This window comes from Homo sapiens, chromosome 14 (assembly GCF_000001405.40).
Source record: "Homo sapiens chromosome 14, GRCh38.p14 Primary Assembly".
Classification (NCBI taxonomy): domain Eukaryota; kingdom Metazoa; phylum Chordata; class Mammalia; order Primates; family Hominidae; genus Homo; species Homo sapiens.
In genome coordinates this window covers 81257616-81284969 of record NC_000014.9, presented here as the reverse complement: position 1 = coordinate 81284969, position 27354 = coordinate 81257616, and the positions used below count along the sequence as shown (strand labels likewise).

Here is a 27354-nt window from a genome sequence, read left to right as displayed (position 1 = left end):
CTTACAATATTCAGTAATTCCTGCTGTAAACAGATGCGTTGTCATCCGGGCTTTGTTCTTCCATTGACAGAGCACAGGCAAGGTAGATTTGCATAATTCTTAAGGGTGCTAAGATTTTTTGAATGGTTAATGAGCAATGGCTTCAACTTAAAGTCACCAGCCACATTGGCCACTAGCAAGAGAGTCAGCCTGTCCTTTGAAGTTTTGAAGCCAGGCATTGACTTTTCTCTAGCTATTAACATCCTAGATGGCATCTTCTTCCAGTAAAAGGCTGTTTTATCTTCAGTGAAAATCTGTTGCTTAGTGTAGCCACCTTCCTCAATTATATTAGGTAAATATTTTGGATAACTTGTTGCAGCTTCTACATTAGCACTTGCTGTTTGACCTTCTACTTTTATGCTATGGAAATGGCTTCTTTCCTTAAACCTCATGAACCAACCTCTGCTAGCTTTATTTATTTATTTATTTTTTCTGCAATTTCCTCACCTCTTTCCACTTTCATAGAATTGATGAGAGGTAGGGCCTTCCTCTGAATTAGGCTCTGGCTTAAGAGAATGTTGTCACTACTTTCTTATCATTCATGTGTTCACTGAAGTGGCACTTTTAATTTCCTTTGAGAAGTTTTCCTTTGCATTCACAACTGGGTTAACTGGCATGGAAGGCCTAGCTTTTGGCCTGTCTCCGCTTTTGACATGCCTTGTTCACTAAGCTTACTCATCTCTCACTCTTGATTGAAAGTAAGAGACATATAACTCTTCATCTGAATACTTAGAGGCCATAGTGGGATTCTTAATTGGCCTAATTTCAATATTGCTTTGTCTCAGGGAATAAGGAGGCCTGAAGAAGAGAGAGAGAGAGATAGGGGAATGGCCAGACTGTGGAGCAGCCCAGAACACACACATTTTATTGATTAAGTTTACCATCTTATATGGGCACAGTTTATGGTGCCCCAAAACAGTTACAATAGTATCATCAAAGATCACAGATCACTGTAACAGATATAATTATAGTGAAAATGTTTGAATGTTGCGAGAATTACCAAAACGTGACCCAGAGACAGAGTGAGCACGTGCTGTTGTAAAGATGGTGCTGACAGACTTTGGGTTGCCACAGATCTTCTAGTCATAAAAAATGCAGTATCTGCTGGGTACAGTGGCTCACGCCTGTAATCCCAGCACTCTGGGAGGCCGAGGCGGGCGGATCATGAGGTCAGGAGATCGAGACCATCCTGGCTAACACAGTGAAACCCCGTCTCTACTAAAAATACAAAAATTAGCCGGGCGTGGTGGCAGGCACCTGTAGTCCCAGCTACTCAGGAGGCTGAGGCAGGAGAATGGCTTGAACCCGGGAGGCGGAACTTGCAGTGAGCCGAGATAGCGCCACTGCATTCCAGCTTGGGCAACACAGCGAGACTCCATCTCAAAAAAAAAAAAAAAAAATGCAGTATCTGTAAAGTGCAGTACAAAAAGACGAGGTATGCCTTTATATGCTGTTATGTAACAGTCACTGCTCTTGCATGTTTAGAAGCCTGCAGTGATGTTAGAACATTTGTTCTTGCCACTCCTAATAAATTCCAGTGAACATTTGTCAATATGGTTTTTTTACAAATTAGGTTAACAAATAAGGGAAAGAAGATAGTAGAGTCTCTATGTTCAAAATGTAGACAATTTTCCTGCCATAGTTCTTACTTTTTATTCAGTTTTAGTGGCTTTGACTACTACTGAAATCACTTTATTTAATTTAATCTTTTAGGAGCTTGAAATAGATTGCGGCCTAACATTAAAAGAATCCACCACTTCTCTTTAGTTTGCATCAGTAAAGACACTAGGAACCTCTTAGGTACTGGAAATTTTCCCTGTGGTGTAGACTGAGAACCTAATCCTTACACATGGCTTTTGTTTGGCAGCAGCCCGACTCATAATAAAAACAATTTGGAGGTAGCCAGTGGAAGGGATAGTAATTAAAATAATGCTGGAGTTTGGGTTTTGGTTTTATTTTAATAAATTAGTAAATTGAATTGTGGAGAAGAATTAGCTTTGTGATCAAGATACTTGGTTTTTGCCTATTTCTTACTGGAGAAATTTGCCAGCTTTTCCCCCTCTCATTGTTTCCAGTCCCAGCCACACCAGTCATAATTGTCTTGGGAAAGATCTAACTGCTGCTTTCTCAATACAGACTATAGCTAAGCACTTTGTTTCCTTTCTCTAAGGCTAATTAGTAGTAATAATAAAGAGATGTTTTGAACTTTTATTATAATGCTATGTTGCTTTATTTTGTAAGGAACATTGCAGTTTTTGAAAGAAAGAATACAGATTTCGAATTTTTTAAATCACCTCTTATCCCATGAGAGATTTGTTTTCACATCAAAATATTACGAGATTATTATATTCCAAAGCTTTCTAATACATACGTACTTTCTATAATGACACATTATCATTCTAGTAGTAGTAGTAGTAGTAGCAGTAGTACTAAGAACAGCCTACATCTACTGAGCATTTATTATTTGTCTGGTAGGATTTAATATTTCCCTAATTTAATATATAGGAAAACTGAGATAGAGGGAAATTTAAGACTTGCCTAGAATCACATATCTAAAAAGCCGTAGGTATGGAATTGAAACGCAGGCAATTTGACTGCAGATTTTAGGTGTTTCTTGTTATTCACTCAACAATATGTCCTAGTCAACTTCCGTGTGAATTAACATGCATCAAGAGCATCATCTTGACAGCTACATGGAATTTCATTTTAAGGGTATGACCACTGATGTAACTAGTCTCCCATTGTTGGGCATTCAGGTTTTTTCATGTTTTTCTGTGATAGAAGCATTGCTGTAATAAACATCACTGTGTACATCGTTGCATGCTTGTCCTGTTATTTCCTTAGGATAAACTCTTAGAATTTATTTCTTACAATTCTCAGATTTCTTTAAATAAATTATTTCATAGAAAAACAAAATCTCAATTTCAGAAATTTTACCTATGCCCTGCTACCATCCCAGAGAATAAGTTTTAAAAATACATGCAATTATGGGACATGAAACTGCCAAAGGGAAGATAATTTTGTAACAAAGTCTTTTGATATTTTTTAATGACTGTCAGAAAGAAAATAGAATCCCTAGAAATTAATTGAATTCAAACATTTCCCTTCAAATTTAAAGACACTTGTTTAATTTGTATTATAACTCTAATGCTTCAAAACTGTTTAGGACTTGGCGTGATTTAAACTAACTTGGTTTGAAAAGGAATTTATTGTAAGAAAATGATCTTCAGTAGGGACAAAGGCCTTTTTTTCTCTTTTCATTTTTGGCTTAGAAGATGAGAAGGGCTGTTTTGAGGACAAGATTCCCAACAGAAGGGAATCCTTTGGTGGCAAGTGTAAACAGCTTTGGCAGAAAGCCGCCCTCCAAAGAAAAAGGACTTCAGCTTGTTTTAAACTACAGGGTGAGCTCCAAGACAAAAAGGATAACCCTGATGCCAGGGGTGGGCCAATAGAGATTGTTTGGGTGGAAACACTACATCACAAAGGCTCTCTAGAGCTGCCTCATTAGAAGTTGATGAGTTTTGAGATGTACCCCTTTCCCAGTTCTCTAGACAGGATCAATTACCATTCCAAGGAAGTGATTATATTTCACTCAGGACCACAATGTTCCTTTTAGACTTTGTTACCAAAATGATAAATAAAATATAAATACTGTAAGTGTAGGTTGTTTCCTGACCGTTTTCCCTTCGATTTTCAGAAAATTAATCACTTATACAAAACTGGATTCATGCTTAATTTGAAGGAGATTCTCATCTTTAATTTAAAAATGCTTTAGAATCCTTTTTAGTCACTGTAGATATAGAAAATGCTTTTCGCTCATTTTGTTTCTGGGGTGGGTATGGATATGTGTATATGTATATGCATACTCGTGTTTAGCCTACAGCCTACATTTTCTTTTCTTTTCTTTTTTTTTTTTTTTTGAGACGGAGTTTCGCTCTATCGCTCAGACTGGAGTGCAGTAGCGCCATCTCGGCTCACTGCAACCTCTGTCTCCCAGGTTCAAGCACTTCTCCTGCCTCCGCCTCCCGAATATCTAGGATTACAGGCTTGTGCCACCACGCCCAGCTAATTTTTGTATTTTTAGTAGAGACAGGGTTTCACCATTTTTGCCAGGCTGGTCTTGAACTCCTGACCTCAAGTGATCTGCCCGTCCCGGCCTCCCAAAGTGCTGCGATTACAGGCATGAGCCACCGTGCCCGGCCTAGCCTACATTTTCAAACTTACGTTTTCATTTGAGAGAATTGCTATCTGTTTGAATAAATTACTTGGAAAGATGGGTGACAAGCCAGCATCCCATCCTTGTATAATTATGTGCAATTATGTGCGGCATTGCTGATGGGTGTGGTTGGATGTGATATGCATGAAGATGTAGTGAGGTGGTCAGAAAACTCAGTCATTTGAGTATCCATTTCCCTTTGATTCCAAACAACTGGCCATAGAAACAGTGGGTAGGATGGTAGCAGAGATCCCCTATACCCATTCCTGCAGAGACGTAGAGAATGGAAGAGCTACTCTAAAGCAAAGTTTCTTTTCTCACTTATTTAATCAAAAAACCTTATTGAGTACCTACTATATGCACACATTTGTTGTCTGTGCTGTTCCTTCATCAGAATTCATTCCTCCTTGCTAAAAGCCTCATTTCCCCTCCCTTCCCACAGCCCCAGCAGATACCCACGGTCCTTAGGTTACTGAAAAAGTTTAGATCTTGCCCTCATCAAACCCAAGTCCTGTATCTCTTTCCTTGAAGGCCCTGCTAAAGTGGAGTTTTATTTGTAATAACCTTTTTATCATAAAAAATAAACTTCGAGATGGAAAAATATTTTAGAGAAAAAAAGGAGATTATATCATGAGCATTTTCTCCTGATATACTGCCTACTTGTAAACATTTTAGTGGGTGGGTATTATTTTATTGTAGGCTTCAATTTCTTAACACTCACCCAATTGTTGAATATTTAAAATATTTTTCCCTATTATAAATAATGCCAAAATGGACATCTCTGTTCTTCAAACTTGGTTCATAATTTAGATTTATTTTCTTAGGGTAGAATTACTAAGTCATTGTTTATTAACATGTGTTAAGATCCTTAATATAAATTGCCCAATCTCTTTTCAGAGCATCTGTTGCAACTTAGTTTCACTAAGCATCCACTTAGTGCTCCTATTATGGCACCTTTACCCTCATTGAGCACTAAAATCTTTCAAAATCTTCACTGATTTTTTTTTTTTCATTTTTCATTTTTGAGACAGAGTCTCGCTCTGTTGCCCAGGCTGGAGTGCAGTGGCACAATCTCCGCTGACTTCTATCTCTGCCTCCTGGGTTCAAGTGATTCTCCTGCCTCAGCCTCCCAAGCCGCTGGGATAACAGGTGCCTGCCACTACGCCCAGCTAATTTTTTTGTATTTTTAGTAGACATTGGGTTTCACCACGTTGGCCAGGCTGGTGCCGAATTCCTGACCTCGTGATTTGCCCACCTCGGCCTCCCAAAGTGCTGGGATTACAGGCATGAGCCACTGTGCCCGGCCATTTTTCTTATTACTAGTGAGATTCGATATTTTTCACATACTTACTAGACATTTTTTAGTTTCTCTTTCATGAGTTGTCTATGTTCTTTACTCAGACTTCTTTTGGGGTTTTTGTGTTTTTCTTATTCACATGTATGAACCTACTGAATATTAAGAAGGTTAACTGTTTGTCTTTAATATTTATTCATTATGTTTAGGCTAAAATCCCTCCAAGAATATTATTTATAATCATATTATCACTTACAGACGATAACTTGGTTTTTTTCAGTGAGATGAGCTTATATCATTTTATATAGGAGATGGCTTTCAATGTTTAAAAATTAAGAACACATTCCTCAAAGCTAAGTACAGAACACATCTATTCCAGAAGCTTTTATAAAATAAGGAAGAGTATATAAATTGCAAGAGACCTTGGTACTACCAGTCAATACTTCTGTATTGATATAGCCATTGGGTTCTTATTGCACTTAATGCGATAGCTCCTCTGGGGTGCTCATTACAGAATTGTGAGATCTATGCCCAGACTAAGCACTTGAAACAGATAATGAGCTGCTTTGGAATGTACTGGATTCCAGTTAAAATTCTAGTAATCCCTCATTCCTATACTTCAGTTTTCCTTACCTCTAGAGCCCCTGAACAGTAGCTCATATGTTCTCCTTTTCCTTTTAGACAATTCCTCCTCGCTTCAAGAAGATGAAGAAGTAGAGATGGAGGCCATCAGCTGGCAGGCCAGCAGTCCAGCCATGAATGGGCACCCTGCCCCTCCAGTGACCTCTGCTCGTTTTCCCAGCTGGGTCACCTTTGATGACAATGAAGTCAGCTGCCCTTTACCACCAGTCACCTCTCCTCTGAAGCCAAATACACCACCAAGTGCATCTGTGATCCCAGATGTACCTTATAATTCAATGGGATCATTTAAGAAGAGGGACCGTCCCAAGAGCACTTTGATGAACTTCTCCAAAGTTCAGAAGCTGGATATTTCCTCTTTAAACCGCACGCCTTCTGTAACTGAGGCTTCACCTTGGAGGGCAACCAACCCTTTCCTGAATGAGACTCTGCAGGATGTACAGCCCTCCCCTATCAACCCTTTCAGTGCTTTCTTTGAGGAGCAGGAGAGGCGCTCCCAAAACAGTTCCATTTCCAGTACCACGGGCAAAAGCCAAAGAGATTCCCTCATTGTCATCTACCAGGATGCCATCAGTTTTGATGATTCAAGCAAAACCCAGTCACACTCTGATGCTGTTGAAAAACTCAAACAACTCCAAATTGATGACCCTGATCACTTTGGCAGTGCAACTCTACCTGATGATGACCCAGTAGCCTGGATTGAACTAGATGCTCACCCGCCTGGATCAGCACGGTCCCAGCCTCGTGACGGGTGGCCAATGATGTTGAGGATCCCTGAGAAGAAAAACATCATGTCCTCCAGGCACTGGGGACCGATCTTCGTCAAACTGACAGACACTGGTTACCTGCAGCTGTATTATGAGCAGGGCCTAGAAAAACCATTCCGTGAGTTCAAGCTGGAGATCTGTCATGAGATTTCAGAACCCCGGCTTCAAAACTATGATGAGAATGGCAGAATCCACAGCTTGCGGATAGACCGTGTCACCTATAAAGAGAAGAAGAAATACCAGCCCAAACCTGCTGTGGCCCACACAGCAGAGAGGGAACAGGTGATTAAGCTGGGCACCACCAATTACGATGACTTCCTGAGTTTCATCCATGCAGTTCAGGACCGTCTCATGGATCTGCCAGTGTTGTCAATGGACTTGAGCACAGTTGGCCTCAACTACCTTGAAGAGGAGATTACAGTGGATGTCAGAGATGAATTCTCTGGCATTGTGAGCAAAGGAGACAACCAGATTCTCCAGCACCATGTCTTGACACGGATCCACATCCTGAGTTTCCTGTCTGGGCTCGCAGAGTGCCGCCTGGGCCTCAATGACATCCTCGTCAAAGGGAATGAAATAGTTTTGAGGCAGGACATCATGCCCACCACCACCACAAAGTGGATCAAGCTCCATGAGTGCCGTTTCCATGGGTGTGTGGATGAGGATGTTTTCCACAACTCACGGGTCATTCTGTTCAACCCTTTGGATGCGTGCCGGTTTGAGCTAATGCGGTTCAGGACAGTGTTTGCTGAGAAGACCTTGCCTTTCACACTCAGGACGGCCACAAGTGTCAATGGGGCAGAGGTGGAGGTGCAGAGCTGGCTGAGGATGTCAACTGGCTTCTCCGCCAATCGTGACCCCCTCACTCAGGTTCCCTGTGAGAATGTGATGATCCGTTACCCTGTGCCCAGTGAGTGGGTGAAAAACTTCCGCAGGGAAAGTGTCCTGGGGGAAAAGTCTTTGAAAGCCAAAGTGAACCGGGGGGCAAGTTTTGGCTCCACTAGTGTTTCTGGCTCTGAGCCTGTCATGAGAGTAACTCTGGGAACTGCCAAGTACGAGCATGCCTTCAACTCCATTGTGTGGAGGATAAACCGACTGCCGGACAAAAACTCAGGTGGGTGGTGGTTCCTCTTCTGTGAAAACAAACATACAGTTGTGAAAAAGCTGAGATCAAAGTTCCACATCCTGTATGAAGTGCTTGTTTTTGCTGTGTGATGGGAGTGGTGATGGAGGGGGAGTGGGACCAGAAAAGTAAAAATAATTGAGCAAGGTAAGTAATGCGTATAGTGACCCAGTTCACTCTGTCTTTTCACCCTCTCATTATCACACATCTTCCATAAAACTAGGGATTATTCTTCTCAGCTGAGCTGCTAAGCAGCTTTTCAGGGCAGCTTCTGAATTTATATTCTTTGGGGACTCATTAACGTATTAGCTGTGGTGCTGGAAGTGATTCATTTCTAGATGGCTTCTGAAGAGACATCTTTCTCACACTGCCCTCGATGTAGGTAAAAGGGCCAGTTTATGGCCAATCATGGACAATACACTGAGAGGTTAATTTTACGACTCCAGCTACCCTGTGCAGGGTCTGTTAGTCATAATATCTCACATTCAGACTTTGGCTCTGGGACTGGGGGATGGGAAAGAAAAGTGGCCTTCAATCAGACTGAAGATCCAGCTAGGACATGAATTTCTAAAAGGGCCAGAAGTCTAGCAGACAAAATATAAAGAAAAGAATGTTTTATTTAGACAAACAAAAAAATGCTTACCAGCCCTAGCTGGGCTGCTCGCAGCTATCAGGGATGCTTTTGTGCTTGAGTGAGTCCAGAAGGCAATTACTTCCCCCGTGGGTCCCGTGAGATTTAGTGAAATGACAAAATGAGGGAGCAGTCAAACCAGCACTAATACACATATTTCTTAGAGTATGTCTGGGTGACCCCAATGGTAGGCAGCAAGCCCATGATCTTGTAAGCCATTAAACCCCTTCTTTTCTTGTTTAGAATACATTTTGCCCATCTGTTAACGAAAGTGGATACGCTAGCTGAGCAAAAAGGATAAGGTTTGGAAAAACTCTTGAGTGAAATGGCTTTCTCTTATGTGGCTATCCTTTCTTAGATTCTCACTATAAATCGTAGCAGTGTGTTAAGAGTCTTCCTCTCCCGCTCTGAGTGTGGAGTGTCTGTATTATTATATCCTAAGTGTAATGCAATGTGACGGCCGACGGCAGTATAATCGGGCCAGCTCCCCAGGCAGTCCAGGGAGTGGACACACACCAGGGCATTCTGTATCAGACACTGGGTGTAGCTATGCAAACTGAAGAGACAATTGGATCTCTGTGTTTGAGGCTGGATTTGCTACTCCCTACTTCTAAACTGACAGAATTTTTAAAACCAAGTGTTCCTCTCTGTGCCTGCTTATTCATTTCCCCTGAAATCAGCACTGTCTTCTGCTGGTGGTAGCACTGTAACTTCTACCTTATCCACGGGGCCCCTCTGAATTGACAGAGGAAGAGAGAAAACCCTGAACTCTCCTTTGACACGGAAGCCCTTGGAAAGAGACAACCATGGAATTACCGGATTTTCAAGCTGGAAGGGACCTTGAATAACTTAGTCAAGTTATTTATAGATGAGAAAATTAAGGTCGGGAAGGTGATGTGACGTATCTAGAGAGTCATGCAGTCACATCCAGGGTCCTTTTCTTAATATATCACTGGTGCCTCCTGGTAGATGAAGCCAAATAGACACAAATATTGAAATAATTTCCACCAGAAGAACAGATATTTGCAGTTTTTCCAGTATGTACAAACGTATCTATTTGTTTCAAAGTGATTTCTCCCAAACATTTAAAAGTACTGCATGAAGGTTTATTATTATTATTATTATAAGCAACAAAGACTTATCGGCTACCCTAAGCAACAAAACAAATTATTGGATAGGATAGCTCAGAGACCTGAGGAAAAGACTGATCAAGAGAAGACTTTAGACAGACAGCACTAGAGTAGCTCTGGTCATAGAGACTAATGGATGTCTCCTCAGCATGTAGCCTTAGGACAAATCATCACAGACTATTTTTTGTTTTTGTTTTTTTGTGTTTGTTTGTTTGTTTGTTTTTTTGAAATGAAGTCTCGCTGTGTTGCCCAGGCTGAAGTGCAGTGGTGCGATCTTGGCTCACTGCAACTTCCACCTCCTGGATTCAAGCGATTCTCCTGCATCAGTCTTCTGAGTAGCTAAATTTTTGTATTTTTAGTAGAGACAGGTTTTCACCATGTTGGCCAGACTGGTCTCAAACTCCTGACCTCAGGTGATCCGCCTGCCTCGTACTCCCGAAGTGCTGGGATTACAGGTCTGAGGCACCGCACCTGGCCCTATTTTTTGTACTTTTGCAACTTGGCTCAAGAGACTAGGGGAGAGGAGTGCATTTTGACTGACGTGACCACCAAGACAACATGTAGCACCGGGGAAGATTATTTCCCAAAAGGAGAGAAAGAAAAAGACTGCTACCAGAAGAGAGGGAGGATGGATACAGGACAGGGAAAAAGCAAAACCAGGCCTTCAGCAAACACTCTCCTTAATGATTCCCAGTGGAGAGTGTTCTGTTGCCTCAAGGGCAAGTAAATGCAGCTTATATGCTGTTTTACATATCTGTTTCCAGATTGCTGGAACCTCGTTTGTGGAAGATTTTTGAAATACAGCACAGCATAAGGATATCTGTTGATGTTTCTTACTTAAATCCTCACAGCCTTGCCCCATTACTGATTTTGCTGTCATGGTTATATAACAATATTTTCAATAGTGAAACCCCATAAAGAGGCTTCTTATACTTCTCTAGCCAGTGGTATGTTTCCATACCAGTTCAGGAAATGGACAGCACCCTTTTTTGGAAACTTGAGGTGTATAGGATCTGAATTCCAGGCAGAATGTAAGTTCTCACTCATTGCTGGTATTCACTGTGCCCAGCTCCTGCCCTCCCTTGCAGTGTTCCATCCGGGAACCCAGAGAATTGATGGTTATCTTTCAGTAATAGCCCTTTCCTGGGCTCTGCTGTCTAGGTGTTCAGACAGCCCTGGGAAGGTGCTTTGTACAGGTTATTTTTTGTAATCCTTAACCTTCTTTAAGGAAGCTAGGGCTCAGCTGAGGTCAAAGGCCCCGCTGACTGGAAGCCTACTTCTCCTCACACGTTCCTGCCTACGGTGGCCCTGCATTTCCAGGCCCCAGTGGGCAGGGCAGTCAAACCCCAGGCAGCAGAGGCCAGCAGGTCAGCAGGTCAGCACCCTTGTGTTGCTGGCATCCCTAGCCTATAGCAGGCTTGTCCCAGTCCCAGCCACCAAGAGATCAAGCAGCTACCTTTGAATTCCAACGTGACTCCCGCCGGCGGGGCCCAGCCCAGCCTGGCCCAGCCCAGCCACATACGTGGGCAGCTCCCCTCTCTGAGCTCTCCAAGGACCCCTCCTACCTTCATCCCAAGAGTTTTTCTTAATCTTAGAAGGCACCGAAACAAGTCCTGCTGCTTCCACAGATCATCTGCCAGGAAATAAAACATTCTGTCCTGCATAAGTGGCTTTCTTTGCAGGAATCCCCCTTCTCATTAGACCAGGTGAAGGGAAAACAGTCCCAATATGTTCATCCTTGTATGGGAAATTTTAAAAATCTGAATTTTTTGTTGTTGAATTTTCTCAACCTCATCAAGGGAAATGACAGAATGTGTGGACTTATTTAATGCATTACTATGAATTAAACCATAATAGCTTTCAAAATTGAACTTCCTTAACTGTCCACCACCCTTACCCATCTGAGAGTCGATGCTAGAATTCTAGTAAAGAATGCTGCTTTCAGAATTTGCTGTGAGTACACTTTGGTGGAGTAAAAGGAGGGAATCAGTTGTGTAGAAAGGAAAGATTTCTCCATATTCCAACAATGTGCAAAATAAGTGTAATTAGATTAAAAGAGTTGTCCAAGTTGCTATTAAATTAAGAGATGCATCTGTATACTTTGTTGTGATCTAATTTCACAGCAATATATTGAGAAGAATTTAGGACATAGTTTGAAGGCAGAGTCATCTCTGAATCTTATTTCCAGCTCTACCACTTAACGGCTGTGTGACCTCGGGCAATTTACTTAACCCTCTCAGAGAAACCTAATTTTTTTCATCTATAAAATAGGGTTATTAATATCTAGTTCATTCAGAATGAAATGAGATAATGCTTTTAAGGGCTTAGTGCAGTATCTGGCCTGTAATAAATGTCCCATAAATGATAGCTGTATAATTACATCTGTGGCACACAATTTAAAAACATTGAGTGGATTCATTTTCAATTACTTTAATTTTTACTGTTATATGTATCTTAAATTCTTTTCTGAAAATCAGTGCAAATTTTTCAATATTCCAAAGCATTACTCTTTAGAAATAACCACTGAAATATGTTACGTTTGTGAAACAGAGCAAAACAAATACTTCACTATCTAATGTTTTCCTTGGAGAGCGGGTGTGTATGTCCTTACTCTCTGAGATTGAAAAGTCCTAGCCAGACCAATAAAGAACATTGGAATTGTTTGTTTGTGGAAACTGGGATAACTAAGGGGCTGTTTCAGTTACATAATTAAGGCAAGGTCATTTCATGTTGTTTATCTATAGCTAGTTGCTATATGGGGGTTCTTACAGCTCAATCCCTCTCTACCCCTGTCACCCTGCAAACTTGGTCTTCTGTTTTGGGGACCATGAGGTTATAACTCAGACAAAGTGGTTAAGAACACTCTGGAGTCAGACTGCTAGGTTCAGTTGTTTTTTGTTTTTTGTTTTGAGACGGAGTCTCACACTGTCACCCGTGCTGGAGTGCAGCGGCGCAATCTTGGCTCACTGCAAGCTCTGCCTCCCAGGTTCACACCATTCTCCTGCCTCAGCCTCCCGAGTAGCTGGGACTACAGGCGCCCGCCACCACGCCCGGCTAATTTTTTGTATTTTTAGTAGAGACGGGGTTTCACCATTTTAGCAGGATGGTCTCGATCTCCTGACCTCGTGATCCACCTGCCTCGGCCTCCCGCTAGGTTCAGTTTTTAGCTCTGCCACTTTCTAGCTGTGACTGTGGGTAGCTCATTTTACCTCCCTAAGCCTTAGCTTCCTCGACTATAAAATGAAGGTAACATTCTGACCTGAAAGATCATACTGAAGACTCAAAGAGAGAATCTGTATAAAAGATTTAACATAGAAGAAGGCATAGGGTACTTCAATGTTTCCTGTATGGCAGGTGAATGACAATGATGTTTCAGTGGTTATAGTCACAGCAGTAAGCTCTCTTTTTCCTCAAAAATCTCAATAACAATTCTCAAGTAAAAATCAAACCCAAAGTTTGCCATCACGAGTATAGTGGAGTTACCCATAGATGTATAGAATTAAGGAGCAGCAAGGGACTGTGCCTGGCATTGCCCAGCCCACCCTGTTGTACTTCTCCCTCTTTATCCCTTGTACCCTAATCTCCCCACTTTACAGAGGAGGAATTGAGGCCTGGAGAGTATAAAGGACTTGAGGGCAGGAGCTCTGCTGCTTAGCAGGGGAGCTGGAAGTCCAACCCAGGTGTTCTGCTGGTTGGTGTTTTGTCCAGTGTTCCATATGCTTCCCTAATATCTATGTGCTATTTATAAAGTCCTTGTCATTTACATATATCATTTACCCGCAAAAGCATGCCAAAAGCATTTTGAAAGTATGAAATACTATTAAGAAAATCAATTCATTCTTCAAAGGAAAGCAATGATTTGCTCCAGGAAGCTGTCATTGGTATTTTATTAGGTGCTAAGTGCTGATCCCTTCCATTCCATTCTTCACATCCTTACCCCTTATTTCTTAGTGTTGGGGCTGTGTTCACATATCACTCTCACTTGAGCAGGCAGGATGGCCCCTGTTTCTCAGGCCTTGGGTTTTATTGCTAGGATACCAGGCTGCTAGAATCCGATGGAGTTATATCGAGGGGCTGAGGCATACAGGAGCGTGAATTCTGCTGAGCCGGGCGGATCCTCGTGCTCAACACTGGACCCTCTGAAAGGCTGCCGGGTGCCGAGCCCACAGGCCTCCTTTATTACCAAAGTGGCTCCTTTGGCTGCTCCTTCCACTTTCTCCCCAAATAATCTGATCTCTCGATTGTCTTTCTTTCATAGCTTCCGGTCACCCACACTGTTTCTTTTGCCACCTTGAACTCGGCTCTGACCGGGAAGTGCCTTCCAGATTTGCCAATCACGTGAATGTCGAGTTCAGCATGCCCACAACTTCTGCCTCCAAAGCCAGCGTGAGATCTATCTCTGTAGAAGACAAGACTGACGTCAGGAAGTGGGTCAATTATTCTGCACACTACAGCTACCAGGTAGCCTTGGGAAGCATCTGGCTAATGCTTCCAACTCCATTTGTTCACCCCACTACCCTCCCCCTCTTATTCCTTTTAGCCATGCTTACTATGTTCGCCTGGTAACCTCTTACTGCCTTAGAGGAAGTTCACCATACATAGCTGTGGGTGCGTCTGCTCTGATTTAAATGCATAATCTGGCTAGTGGATGAGAGAAAGGTTGGAAAAAAATAAAGAGGCTCATCAAAGAGGAGAATATAATGTCTTTCTGTCATTATGAGCAATGACAACAAAAAGAATAATGGGGGCCAGGCACAGTGGCTCACACCTGTAATCCCAGCACTTTGGGAGGTGGAGGTGGGCTGATTACTTGAGTTCAGGAGTTCAAGACCAGCCTGGCCAACATGGCGAAACCCCATCTCTATAAAAAGTACAAAATTAGCCGGGCATGGTGGCCTGTGCATGTAGTCCAGCTACTCAGGAGACTGAGGTGGGAGGATCACTTGACTCTGGGAGGTTGAGCTGCAGTGAGCCATGATTGCACCACTGTACTCCAGCCTGAGTGACAGAGCGAGACTGTGTCTCAAAAAAAGAAAAAGAGTAATGGGGTAAAGGAATTGTTATTATTCATTTGCAATATAATTTATGTCACAGAGTAGTGAGCTTGGAAATGGAGGGGAGAAAATGCTATCCCAAAGCATATGCTTCAGTTAGAGTTGATGAAGTGGACCTGAACAAAGTTAGGACACACATGACCTGGGTACTGGGCTATAACAGGACAAAACTCAAAAGCCAAGCAAATGTTTATAATAGTAACAGGGTCAGGGCTGTGGAAGGAATCATAAAAGTTGGAGTTTTCTGACATAAATAGAAAGTGATACTTTCCTGGGGAGTTAGAAATTCAATAGGAGATTAAATGCCAACGATTGGAAAAGGAGTTTGTTAAAGAAGGATTTTGCAAAGTGGTTTTCTATTTATAATAATATCCTTGGATTTATATGGTGATTTATTGTTCCTCTAAATGTTTCCTTAGCTGTGTGGGCTAAAATATTTAACTACCAAAAGGAACAAACACTCCATCTTGTGGCTAGGAAAAAAATAGCACCTCCCTCAAACCTGACTGTTGTGTGTTGAATCATTACCCTGTAGGTCAAGCGTCATAAATATCCAGAGTGGTGCTGAGAGGAGCAACCTGAACCCTGAGCTCAAAGAATTCCTTGCCTGAGCTATCAAAGATTTCGGTTGAGATGTATTACTTTCAAAGATTAATCTGTTAATTTCTTGATAATTACAGTGACAGTATTTTGCAGAAGATATTGCAGAACTGTAAACATTCCAGTATTTATCAGTTCGGAGGTTTTCTAAAGAGAGAAAGTACTGGAGGTGGCCGGGTGCTGTGGCTCATGGCTGTAATCCCAGACCTTTGGGAGGCCAAGGCAGGTGGATCATTTGAGGTCAGGAATTCAAGAACAGCCTGGCCAATATGGTGAAACCCTGTCCCTACTAAAAATTCAAAAATTAGCCAGGCGCAGTGGTGCGTGCCTGTAATCTTAGCTACTCTGGAGGATGAGGCAGGAGAATCACTTGAGCCCGGGAAGTGGAGGTTGCGGTGAGCTGTGAGCCAAGATTGTGCCAGTGCACTCCGGTCTGAGTAACAGAATGAGACCCTGTCTCAAAAAAAGAAAAAAACAAGTATTGAGGGGGTACAAACAGTCAATTACAAAGAAATTCATTCATTTGATAAATCTTTGTCGATTGCCCACTGTATTCCTACATTATTGCATAAAATATTGAACAAGATCCTGCCCATGTCTTGTGGAGCCCATGGTATAGTGGAGCCAGACAGGTGTGCAAGATACGGTGGAAATATTCACAGAGAGAAGTACCTAAGTCTACTTAATAAGTCAAAAATAGCTTCACAGAAGGGGTGATCTTTGACCAAATGTACAAGGCAAAGAATAAGAATTTTCCTGGTGGACCATGAGGGAAAGGGAATTACAGACCAGTTAAAGAACATGTGCAAAGAGAGAGACATGATATACTCAGGGCCAGTAGCTCCAATGTGGCTAACGCCCAAAATGTTAGCAAAATTATAAGAAATTTCAAAGTACCTATGGAGTTTTGGTTTACTTATTTATTTGCATGCTTTTTCTCTTCTTTTTGATCTTTATCTCCAACTTCTATTCTTGGCAGGTGGAAATTGAGCAAAAAAAGAGTTTGAAGCCGGACTTTGAAGGAGATGAAATGGAAAATCCCAAGGAGTGTGGAGTGCAGTGACAAAGCCTTGCGGCAAGGAATCCTGATCCCAGAGTCATGATAGGGTGTCTTCCTGAGTCATGATAGGGTGTCTTCCTGAGTAGCTGAAGTTGCAGTCAATACCTGCTGTGGCCACTGCATGTTGGGAACAGTATACCAGATCTTCCTGTTTGCAGTTACTTGTATTTTACCAGGAAACCCTGAGAATGGTGGCTTTTGGAGAGGCTCTTTGATTCTGGTCATGCCTAAAGCACGAGGTTCACCTGACTGTTGGAGCTTACTGTATAATTAAGCCTCCTTGTCTTGTCTCTGCTTATCTCACAGCACTGGTATGTGGTTTGTTGTGACTGTTACAGTCAGGAAAAGAACCTCCCACATCAGTGTTAGCACGATTGCCTTCTGATGTTCATCTGTCACTCGCATAACTTTCTGGCAAAGGCAGTCTTGAGAAGTTAATTAAGAATCCATCTCTTTCACTCTGTCTAGAAAAGGTTCAGAAAAGGTGCAAAACAAATTTCCTCTTTGGGTCTTACTAGACCTTTTTGAGGTGTCTCCATTCTTTAACTGTTAAGCTTTCAAGACATTTCCCTCCTGGCTCTAGATCGTTTAGATTGGAACACTTTTTCCATCTCTCTAAGGTTTCAGTCACAGGATTTGCTATCCTGAGTCACAATAGACAATGGAAAAAGGCACAATAGGAGACTTTTTAATTTTGTGAATGGACCCACATTCTGCAAAATGGGTGTTGAGGGGAAGGCAAAATTAATCTTAGTTTTCTTCATTTTGGAGAAAAGAGACATTAAATATAAGATGATGTTCAGTTCAAGAGGTAGATTCAATCTCAGTGAATTCCCAAATTCACACTGAAAAATACAGTCCACTTCTGATTCCTGAAACAAATATACATAATACCTGAGGCATTTGTAAGGGGCATTTGGGAGTTCTTTTTATACCTCATGACCAATAGACAGTTGCATGTCCCTTTAACCCAACTTTATAGGAAATTTAAGCTGCAAAGATAATTTTTAAAGCTGTTTTAAAATTAAGCTTGAATGAGCTTTCCCCCAAAATTCAGAGTTTGATAATCACAGTATTGGATTGGATTGAAAAGGCATCTCTAGGGTAGAGACGTGGAAAAGCCATATTTTTCTAATGTTGGGAACATTATATTCTGATTCCAAGAGTCAGAACGCTCACTCCATCTTCTTTTTCTTCATCTGTTTCTGGGACAATTAATCTTCTTTTCCTTCATCCGTTCCTACTCACCTCTGCTTCTTATTTGTATCTTAGTGTTTTCTCCCATGAAGAATACAAGTCGGGGGACAGAAAGCACACTTCATTGGATTTGTAGATGATGCAGAAATGAAAAATATCTCCAGTTTTTGGCTGATGGATTCAAGATTAATGTATTCAATGAACAATCATTGGAGTCTAAATGTGTATTGACACTGGGATATAGAAATAGTTACAGTATTTTGAAATATCTGAACTAAGACTGAAAGTAAAATGATGATTGAATAGGCATTAATGAGAAACCCTATATTCTGGGTTTTTAAAATGCAACCCTCTAAGTACAGAGTGGAGTGTGTGTTTGTGGATGTGTGTGTTTGTGTGTGTTTATGTGTGTGGTGTTGATGGGAACGGTGTTAGGAAGACCTGGTTTCACGGTAGTTTATAGAGAAATATTTCCTTACAGAAATGGAGGTTCAATGTTGAATCAGAAATATATCATGGCTATTCACAAAGCTAATGTAGTCAGCTGGTGTTAATAAAAGCCTTACATGCTTTTATTAACCCTCCATCTAGTCCATATCTAAATGGAGGGTTGAGTTCAATTATGGGTATCATATTTTAAGAGAGACATTAATAAGTTGATTGTGTCCATAGGGAGGTGACCAGGGTTGTAAAGGGTCTGATGATGCAAGAACAAGGGAGTAGCTTCCCTGAAGGAACAGAAGGTATAGCTGGAAAGGGAGTGCAGACAAGGAGGGAATGATACAATAGCTGCCTAGAAATTTCTATTGAGCTATGAAAAGGAAGAGGAATTAGATTTATTCTGTGTAGCTTCAAAGGGCAAAAATAAGAACAAAGAGGAACTTTACAGGTGACAAATGTTTGCTTCAATATAAGGAAGAATTGTCTAATAAGAGTTGTTCTAAAGAGGAATAGACTCAAGTTAGTAAGATTTCCTGTTCCTGTGAATGCCCAACAGTTAAAATAACCACCTATCCCACGTGCTGTGAAAGGGAATCTTACATTGGATTTGGTCTATATGTCTACCAAGATTCCTTCTAAATATAGGTTTAGTCTCAATAGTAATAAGACTCTCTAACTTCATTTGTCTTTTTCTTCATAAGTGGTTTTTCATGCTCTTTGAAATACAGTGGAGTTCCTTTGAGGTTTTTGTCAAGGAATTTCAACGCATATCTCTTCCCCTGTTGTACTGAAGGCTTTTGAGATTAATTCCTCATAGAACATCTAAATGGATTGGAGAGTTGGCAAGGGAAATGAAGCTCATCCCAGCACCTTCCTTAGTCACTCACGCTTAGCACTCTGTCAAGATCTCTGCCTCATCTGCTAGCATAACATGTGGATTGCTTGTTGGAGCTTATTTCCCCGCCCCCCATGGTAAATTCTCATTTCCTGTGTACATGCACCTGGACTTTTTTGTTTTTTTTACCAAGAGTTGGGAAAAATCCCTTCTATGCTATCTATATTCTGCAAACAAATTATTATTATTATTATTATTGAGACAGAGTATTATTATTATTATTATTATTATTATTACTGAGACAAAGTTTCGCTCTTGTCGCCCAGGCTGGAGTGCAATGGCGTGATCTCGGCTCATTGCAACCTCTGCCTCCCAAATCTCCTGCCTCAGCCTCCTGAGTAGCTGGGATTACAGGCGCCTGCCACCATGCACCACTAATTTATGTATTTTTAGTAGAGATGGGGTTTCACCATGTTGGCCAGGCTGGTCTCGAATGTCTGACCTCAGGTGATAAGCCTGCCTCAGTCTCCCAAAGCTCTGGGATTACAGGCGTGAGCCACCATGCTGGACCCACAAATTATTATTAATTTTTAAAAACCTAACATCTTAATTTCATCAAATTTGTTTTCCCTCTACTGTTTTTAGGAAACTGATTATGGGTAGCATTTAGGGGTTTGGGGATAATAATACTATATATTTTTAGACGTAATGAGTGTTTTACTAGGTTTAAATAACTTCTAAAGAAAATACAAGTGGGCAAATTAGCTATGTAATAACCTACATAGAAAACAGTTGGGCAAATTACCTGTGGATATGCAGATTCTACTTTTGCAACCCTGGACCTGGACTTTTTATTTTTTTTTTTTGTGGTCACAAATAATCTTTGTTATCAATAATGTGAAAATATTAAAAATGAATTCATTTTACCAGTACATAGTATTACTCTTAGAACATAAATTAGATATCACGTGGTATCAAGAGCTGTGCTTTCTTTTGAGTCTAGGGCCTGCTTTTTGACTTTACAGCAAAAAGATAAGAAATGTACTCATGACATGTCAGACAAGACAATGTGAGGCACTTTGTGGGGAGACCATTAGATGATCCCCCTTGCCTGCTCTTGCAGACATAGTACTAGTTATTCCTTATCAAAAGTTTGCATTTCATTCATATTAAATATTATCTGGACAGTTTCATTTTTTCTATTTGGCTCTTCCCTTACTGTGCCTTCCTGCATTATTGGCAGGGTTCATAATCCTTGAGAACATTGTTTGATTTAAAATATTTTTTATTTGAAATGAGACTGATTTCTATTCAAATCCAGTGGCTGGGAGTAAGAGTTTATTTCCCTAGAAACTTATGTTTCTGATAAATGGGATCCATGAAGGCAAGGACTATATATAATTTTTTGTGTTTCCAACACCTAGCACAAAGCTTGGAATATAATAGGGTTCAGCCACCTTAAATGCTTGCCAGGAGGGCAAACGTATACTCATGAAATAAAGGAAAATGAGTATGTATTCAATAAATGTTTGCTGAAAGAATACTGACCCTGAGACTCGAAGGCTACTTAACCCTTACTTATCATCAAATACTCATAATAAAGCCAGCAAGCATGCTTTTATTTCCTGAAGGACTTAAATAATTTTGCTTTCCTTTTACTCCTGCCTCCAGAGTCAAGTAATAAAACCTGTCAGCATTTAGGCACTTAATATGCTGCTGAATTTGAACTACAATGTACCTCATTCACATTGAAAAACATTTTTGTGCCCCAAAGCATAGTAGCATAGATGCTGTCCATAGTCACGGTGATTGATTGCTTTGTTCCTGCAAGTCAAACAGATCCATGAGCCTGAGCCTTGCCCATTTCAATGGTCAGTAGGAAAAGAAAGCATTTGATAGAGTGCACAACCAGTCTTCATGCAGTAGGTCTTTGTTCTTCCAGCACTAACCGCTGACCGTTACTTTGCATTTATTTTGTCACCACAGTAAGATGGAGGTCTGAGATAGTAAGGTCAAAATTTGTGAGATAAAGTCATGATTTCAGAGGTGATATATATTTCACCATAAGTTTAGTGGTGGGAAAACAGAATGAGCTGAAGTTTTTTCTTAAAAGCCTTGGGAATATTAAATTGGTTTAAGTAGGAAGCACTACCATCCAGCCTGCTTATAGAAATGCTCCCAGTTCGAGTGGTAACTTTAACTCTTCTAAAAATGAGGATTATATGTTAATTCCAGCATATCTAGACCTTAGTCAGGGAGGTCCAATCTTTTGGCTTCCCTGGGCCACATAGGAAGAAGAATTGTCTTGGGTCACACATAAAATACAGTAACAACAGCTGATGAGCTTTAAAAACATGGCCAAAAAATAGCATTTTCTTTTTTGTTTTTTTTTTTTTTTTTTTTTTTGAGACGGAGTCTCAGTCTGTCACCCAGGCTAGAGTGCAGTGGCACGACATCGGCTCACTGCAACCTCCGCCTCCCGGGTTCAAGTGATTCTCCTGCCTCAACCTCCCGAGTAGCTGGGACTACAGGCATGTGCCACCACGCCTGACTAATTTTTGTATTTTTAGTAGAGATGGGATTTCATTATGTTGGCCAGCTGGTCTTGAACTTCTGAGCTCAGGTGATCCACCCGCCTTAGCCTCCCAGAGTGCTAGGATAACAGGCATGAGCCGCCGCGCCTGGCCAAAATAGCATAATGTTTTAAGAAAGTTTACGAATTTGTCTTGGGCCACATTCAAAACCATCATGGGCCAAGGGTTGGACAAGCTAGCCTTAGGTCATGTCCAGAATGCAATTTAACAGGAATTTCAAGCAAAACTAACAAAAAATTAAATCCACAAAAAAATATCATTTGGTAAATGCACTGTCTCACACACTTTACTACTAAGTCCCATTCAAACCATGACGACCCTTTACATAAAATTAGGGCATTCTCACCAAGTTTCTAAAGATGATTTCTAAACATTACCAAGGTCTAAGTGCTAATTCCCCACAAACCATTTCTTATCTTGTTTAAATGAGACTGGCTTTAGATATCATGACTCATATTTATGTGTTTAAGGAATTAAACGTGAAGGAGATGTATAAGGCAACCACAAATGTAGAAAACAAATGTATGTATTAGTAATATTCTCCCATGTATTAACTAGAACAAGAATGTGAGATTTTTACATTTCTTCTAGTGTGCCTTAGCAAATCTGCTGGAAAGAGTCTAGTTGTTTTGAGAATTGAAAAAAAAATGTGTCTCTCAATTTGTCAATTCTAAGCCTGTAAAGGCAGAAACTATCCACAGTAATGAGTTTGGTAGTGCCTGGAGAGAGGCAAATGATCATTGGATGTAACAAAAGCTACAAGAGAATAGACTAAAAAAAGAATTTCAATATGAAAAAGTAAAATCTAGAGAGATGACAAATCAGCATTGGGTACCAAGCCTCAAAATACTTGAACTAGAAGCCATCTCTTAAAGTTAAAAGTAAGAAGCTCCAGGAAAAATAAAGATTGCATAGTAAAAAGGGATAGATGGCAGGATTAATTCAACTCAACAAATATTTATCAAATGTCTACTCTGGTCAGGTGCTGTGTTAGCAGCCAGCTTCCCTAAAGGGAGGAAAGGCTAGACACGAGGACATTGAGGATTGTTTATTTAAAGTCACTCATAGGCATGCCATAATGGATTTATTAAGGGGAAATTGGGGTTTCTGTGAATCTTTACAGGACATAGCCATGGAGACAATCACTATGTTAAGTAAGTTGCTGTTTTCCCAATTGGGCTTCAGTTTCCTGAGACAAAAAAGTGAGGAAGTTGGATTAATTGTTTCTTCAAGTCCTTTCCAGCTCTAAAGTTGTGGGTTATTTTACAAAATATCCATTGGTGCCACCTTTCAGTGACTCTTCCTATGTTTATAAGAACCAAGAAATTTAAATTTTGAAGATTGGAAAAATCACCTGGTCCATCTTTTTCCTTTTCACATCTCTCTCTTTTTTTTTTTTTTTTTTATCATTTCCCCAGACAACAGAAACAGACAACCTTCCAAATCCTCTATATTGCAGTTGCCTTCCACACACAGATTTAAAAAGAGGATCAAAGAGGGTGGTGAAGATCAGGTGGAATGCTTCTTTGGAAGTTCCACTGGCATCATCTATCAGAACAATGGTGTGAGCATGAAGAGGCACAGACAGGTCTCCAAAATAGATGTTAGGATTTGGGTGCTACCTGACACAGAAGTAGGTCTAACCCTCCAAGTACTGGGGATGATAGGATAATCAATGAGGTATATATATATTTGTCATTTTGTATAAAATATTGTGAAAATTGAAGGAGGACACTCAGTAAACATCCTGGGACTATTTGTAAGTTATGGCAAAACCAGATGAGAGAAAAGGGACAGTCCCCTCTGTATCCTCGTTGTCTCTTAGTAACATCAAATTGTAGTTAAAAAAATTTTAAACTATGTACAAGCTACAAAATAGCATCTCTTTCATGGTATGTTTGAGTGTGTAATTTTAGTTTCTTTTCTGGTTGTATTTGTGGTAGTCAGATGTGTTGGATTGATTCCAACTGGACAGAGTAAGGAATTCCAGCATCCTCTTCCTGCTTGCTCGTGTTACCCCACAGATCAAACCCTCAATTCTAGTTGGGGATGCTGTCTAGCCCCACACCATGACTGAAGCCTTAAGCACTGTTGCGCCTCCATGTGCTTTGGATCAGCAACCCCAGTGGTATTCTACCAGAGCATTGTGGGAAAGCAGATGTATAGTCAGGTCCCAACAGCAAATTGTTGGGTGTGAGAGTTCTAAAGTATAGGGGTGAGGGAAGAGAAGGATATGAACTCCTCTGACCTTAAGCCAGCATTCATTTAACTTTTATGTCTACTTAACAAGAGAACCTGGAGAAAACTACCGTATTCAAGAGATTAATCAAAATCAGTGTTTTAGCCAGGCGATGACAGAGAAGCACCATTCCTCACCCTCCATTCTTGTAATGTCTGTAATAAATTTCAGTGCGTCAGGATGGATGAACCCAAGATCCAGTGAATGATTCAGCTGTTCCAAGCCTTACATTTTCCATCATTCATCATCCATTCTCATTCAGTGTAACCTCTTGCACTATTGTGGTTAATTTTATGTAAAACCAGTTTATGTTTTTTTTTTTTTAATATGTGCCTATGTAATAAAGTCTACACACTGGCTATCTCTGTAGAGGTGAGGTTTTGTTTTTAGTTGTTCTACTGATTATATCCTTTTCTGAGCTATGAAAATGAATTATTAATAAAAAATTTTTGAACAAAATATCACTATGCCAAATTTAATGAAGTCAGACATATGAAGAGTAATGCTTATTAATATAAGGCCAGTCACCCAGCTTGTATGGTTAGTGATCATAAGCTGACAAATTAACAAATGACCTGTTTAATTATCCTAGTTAAATTTGTCATAGATATAATTTAGTCAATTCAAGATAGGTTGGCTGGACCCAGTGGCTCATGCCTGTAATCCCAGCACTTTGGGAGGCTGAAGTGGGTGGATCACGAGGTCAAGAGATCGAGATAATCCTGGCCAACATGGTGAAACCCCATCTCTACTAAAAATACAAAATTAGCCGAGTGTGGTGGTGCATACCTGTAATCCCAGCTACTCAGGAGGTCGAGGCAGGAGAATCGCTTGAACCTGGGAGGCGGAGGTTGCAGTGAGCCGATGTCGTGCCCACAGCGTACCTGTGGTGTTTGGTGAGAGTTGGAAGAAACACCTCAATGGAGAGTTCGGAAAACTGTATTCTATAAAACGAACGGGATTTGTTGCAGAAGAAAGAAAACATTACACTGTTTATCCTCCCCAACACCAAGTCTTCACCTGGACCCAGATGTGTGACATAGGAGGTGTGGAGGTTGTCATCCTGGGACAGGATCCATATCACAGACCCTATCAAGCTCACGAAGCTGCTTTAGTGTCCAAAGGCCTGTGCGATCTCTGCCTAGTTTGGAAAACATGTATGAAGAGCTGCCTACAGACAGATGGTTTTGATCATCCTGGCCATGGAGATTTATCTGGGTGGGCCAAACAAGGTGTTCTATTCACCGTCTTCACTGTGCAGAGCCATCAAGCCAATTCTCCTGAGAGAGGCTGGGAGCATTTGCCAATGCAGTTGTGTCCTGGCTAAATCCGAACTGAATGGCCTTGTCTTCTTGCTCTGGGCTCTTAGAAGGAGGGCATTGCCACTGATAGGAGGTGGCAGTGTGTACTGCAGGTGGCTCATCTCTTCTGATTGTTGGTGTATAGAGTGTTCTTTGGATGTAGACACTTATTCCAAGACCAATGAGCTGCTGCAGAAGTCCAGCCAGAAGCTCACAGAGTAGAAGGAGCTGTGATCCTCAACTGAGGGGTGGTCTGTCTCCATTGGTGTTTTTGAGAAGCTTCTGTTAAAGTATTTGTCATTTATGAAGTCGAATTGAAAATTTCTGAATTAATTCTTAAGTACTTTGCGTAAGGGGGCAAAGCTTTCATTAAAACAGCCACGAAGCAGGCTGCCCAGGAATGGCAGCTTTATCCAGCCAGATACAGCAAAGGCTACTCTGTGACCAAATGTCTTTCTCTGCAACATGGCTTCAGCCCAAAATATGCAAACTTCTCAGAAGACAGGTGAGGTCAAATATTCACTTGGCTCTCTTCACCACCTTTACTTTTATGTTTAAGGGGGGAGATTGCACTTTTTGGTACAGCCCTAGTATTGTACCTGCTGCTACTAGGTTTTGCCTGGTTAGACTTCCAGTTACAAGGTGTTCGGGTGTTTTTGCTTAGAAAGGAACCCTTTTCAATGCCGGGCGTGGTGGCGCATGCCTGTAATCCCAGCACTTTGGGAGGCCGAGGCAGGCAGATCACGAGGTCAGGAGATCGAGATCATCCTGGCTAACATGGTGAAAACCCGTCTCTACTAAAAAAAAAAAAAAATACAAAACATTAGCCCGTCGTGGTGGTGGGCGCCTGTAGTCCCACCTACTCGGGAGGCTGAGGCAGGAGAATGGCGTGAACCTGAGAGGCAGAGCTTGCAGTGAGCCAAGATTGTGCCACTGCACTCCAGCCTGGGGGACAGAGCGAGACTCCGTCTCAAAAAAAAAGAAAGAACCCTTTTCCCAGCCTGGCTGGCATTCCAGTCCCAGCCAGGCACACTGCCCCCTTGATCATTTAAGGAGCCCTCAGGCCCCTCCATAAAGGAAGCATGAGGATGTTCTGCAGGTTTCCAGAAATCTAGCCCAGAAATCAGGGCTCAATTTCCTGATTGTAGGGGAGGTGAAGTTTCCTAAGAAATACTCCGTGGTATGAGCCTTAACGGATAGACAGGGGCTGAGAAAAGTGACCTGGGTCTTGTTATTCTTCGGTTGTTTTATGGAATAAGCAGTGGAATTTGAACAAGGAAGAAGAGAAAAGGCATTTTTCTTAAATGCGGGGATGAGCTTCTCCTAGAGTTATCTTGAGTTGGGGTTTTTAAGGCAGCACGAACTGCCAAATGCTGTTTTTTTGTGGACTGCAATCACTTTGCGGTATTTTTTCGGCAACACTGAAAAGTTTTAGTTTTTTAAAAAAATACTTATGCAAATATGTATATATTTTCACAATTCGTTTTCTATCTTATTTTATTTTTTTTGAGACAGAGTCTCTTTCTGTTGCCCAGGCTGGAGTGCAGTAGCGCGATCTCGGCTCACTGCAACCTCTGCCTCCCAGGTTCAAGCGATTCTCCTGCCTCAGCCTCCCAGGTAGCTGGGATTACAGGTGTGCACTACCATGCCCGGCTAATTTTTGTATTTTTAGTAGAGACAGCGTTTCACCATGTTGGCCAGGCTGGTCTCGAACTCCTGACCTCAGGTGATCCACCCACCTCGGCCTCCCAAAATGCTGGGATTACAGGCGTGAGCCACTGCCCCTGGCCTCCAATTCGTTTTTTAGGAGACAGTCTTTATTGTTACTGCACCTCCATCCTTGATCTTGCTAGTGATGCTGTTTTGCTGTTAGCTGGGTTAGAGTTAATCCTGTGCTAGTTTGGTAATAAAAGACTGTTGAAGTTGTTTTGTTTTGTTTTTTAACTGAATATCAGACATTATTCTTTCTTCTACTTCTAAAAATTTTTTCAAGACAGAGTCTCGCTCTATCACCCAGGATGCAGTGAAGTGGCATGATCACAGCTCACTTCAGCCTTGACCTCCTGGGCTCAAGTAACCCTGCCACCTCAGGCTCCCAAGTAGACGGGACTACAGGTGACACCTGGCTAATTTTAATTTTTATTATGGTAGAGATGGGGATCTTACTATATGGCCCAGGCTGGTCTCAAACTCC

At 41.3% G+C, this 27354-nt stretch overlaps 1 protein-coding gene and 1 pseudogene across 15 annotated transcripts in view, besides 1 other annotated feature; both read left to right on the top strand.

Moving 5' to 3' along the window:
- Nucleotides 1–24318, top strand: part of STON2 (stonin 2) — a 175814-nt gene extending 151496 nt beyond the window's left edge. For 8 of the 15 annotated variants that reach the window (XM_024449736.2, NM_001366849.2, XM_047431815.1 and 5 more), the window contains 3 exons: nucleotides 6231–8069; nucleotides 14098–14300; nucleotides 23039–24318. In XM_024449736.2, coding sequence (XP_024305504.1) covers nucleotides 6231–8069; nucleotides 14098–14300; nucleotides 23039–23188 — 2192 coding nt within the window. In that variant the 3' untranslated portion in view covers nucleotides 23189–24318. Of the gene's footprint in view, nucleotides 1–6230; nucleotides 8070–14097; nucleotides 14301–16472 lie in introns of all 15 variants that reach the window. The other 7 variants (NM_001366850.2, XM_011537242.3, XM_047431816.1 and 4 more) reach the window with 1 other exon arrangement.
- Nucleotides 20612–21113: an enhancer, noted in NCBI's record as "NANOG hESC enhancer chr14:81730201-81730702 (GRCh37/hg19 assembly coordinates)". NCBI's record gives its function as "activates a minimal SCP1, AML or CMV promoter by ChIP-STARR-seq in naive H9 embryonic stem cells {active_cell/tissue: H9 hESC(naive)}" and the evidence as "EXISTENCE:reporter gene assay evidence [ECO:0000049][PMID:30033119]".
- UNGP3 (uracil-DNA glycosylase pseudogene 3) lies at nucleotides 24736–26642 on the top strand (annotated as a pseudogene).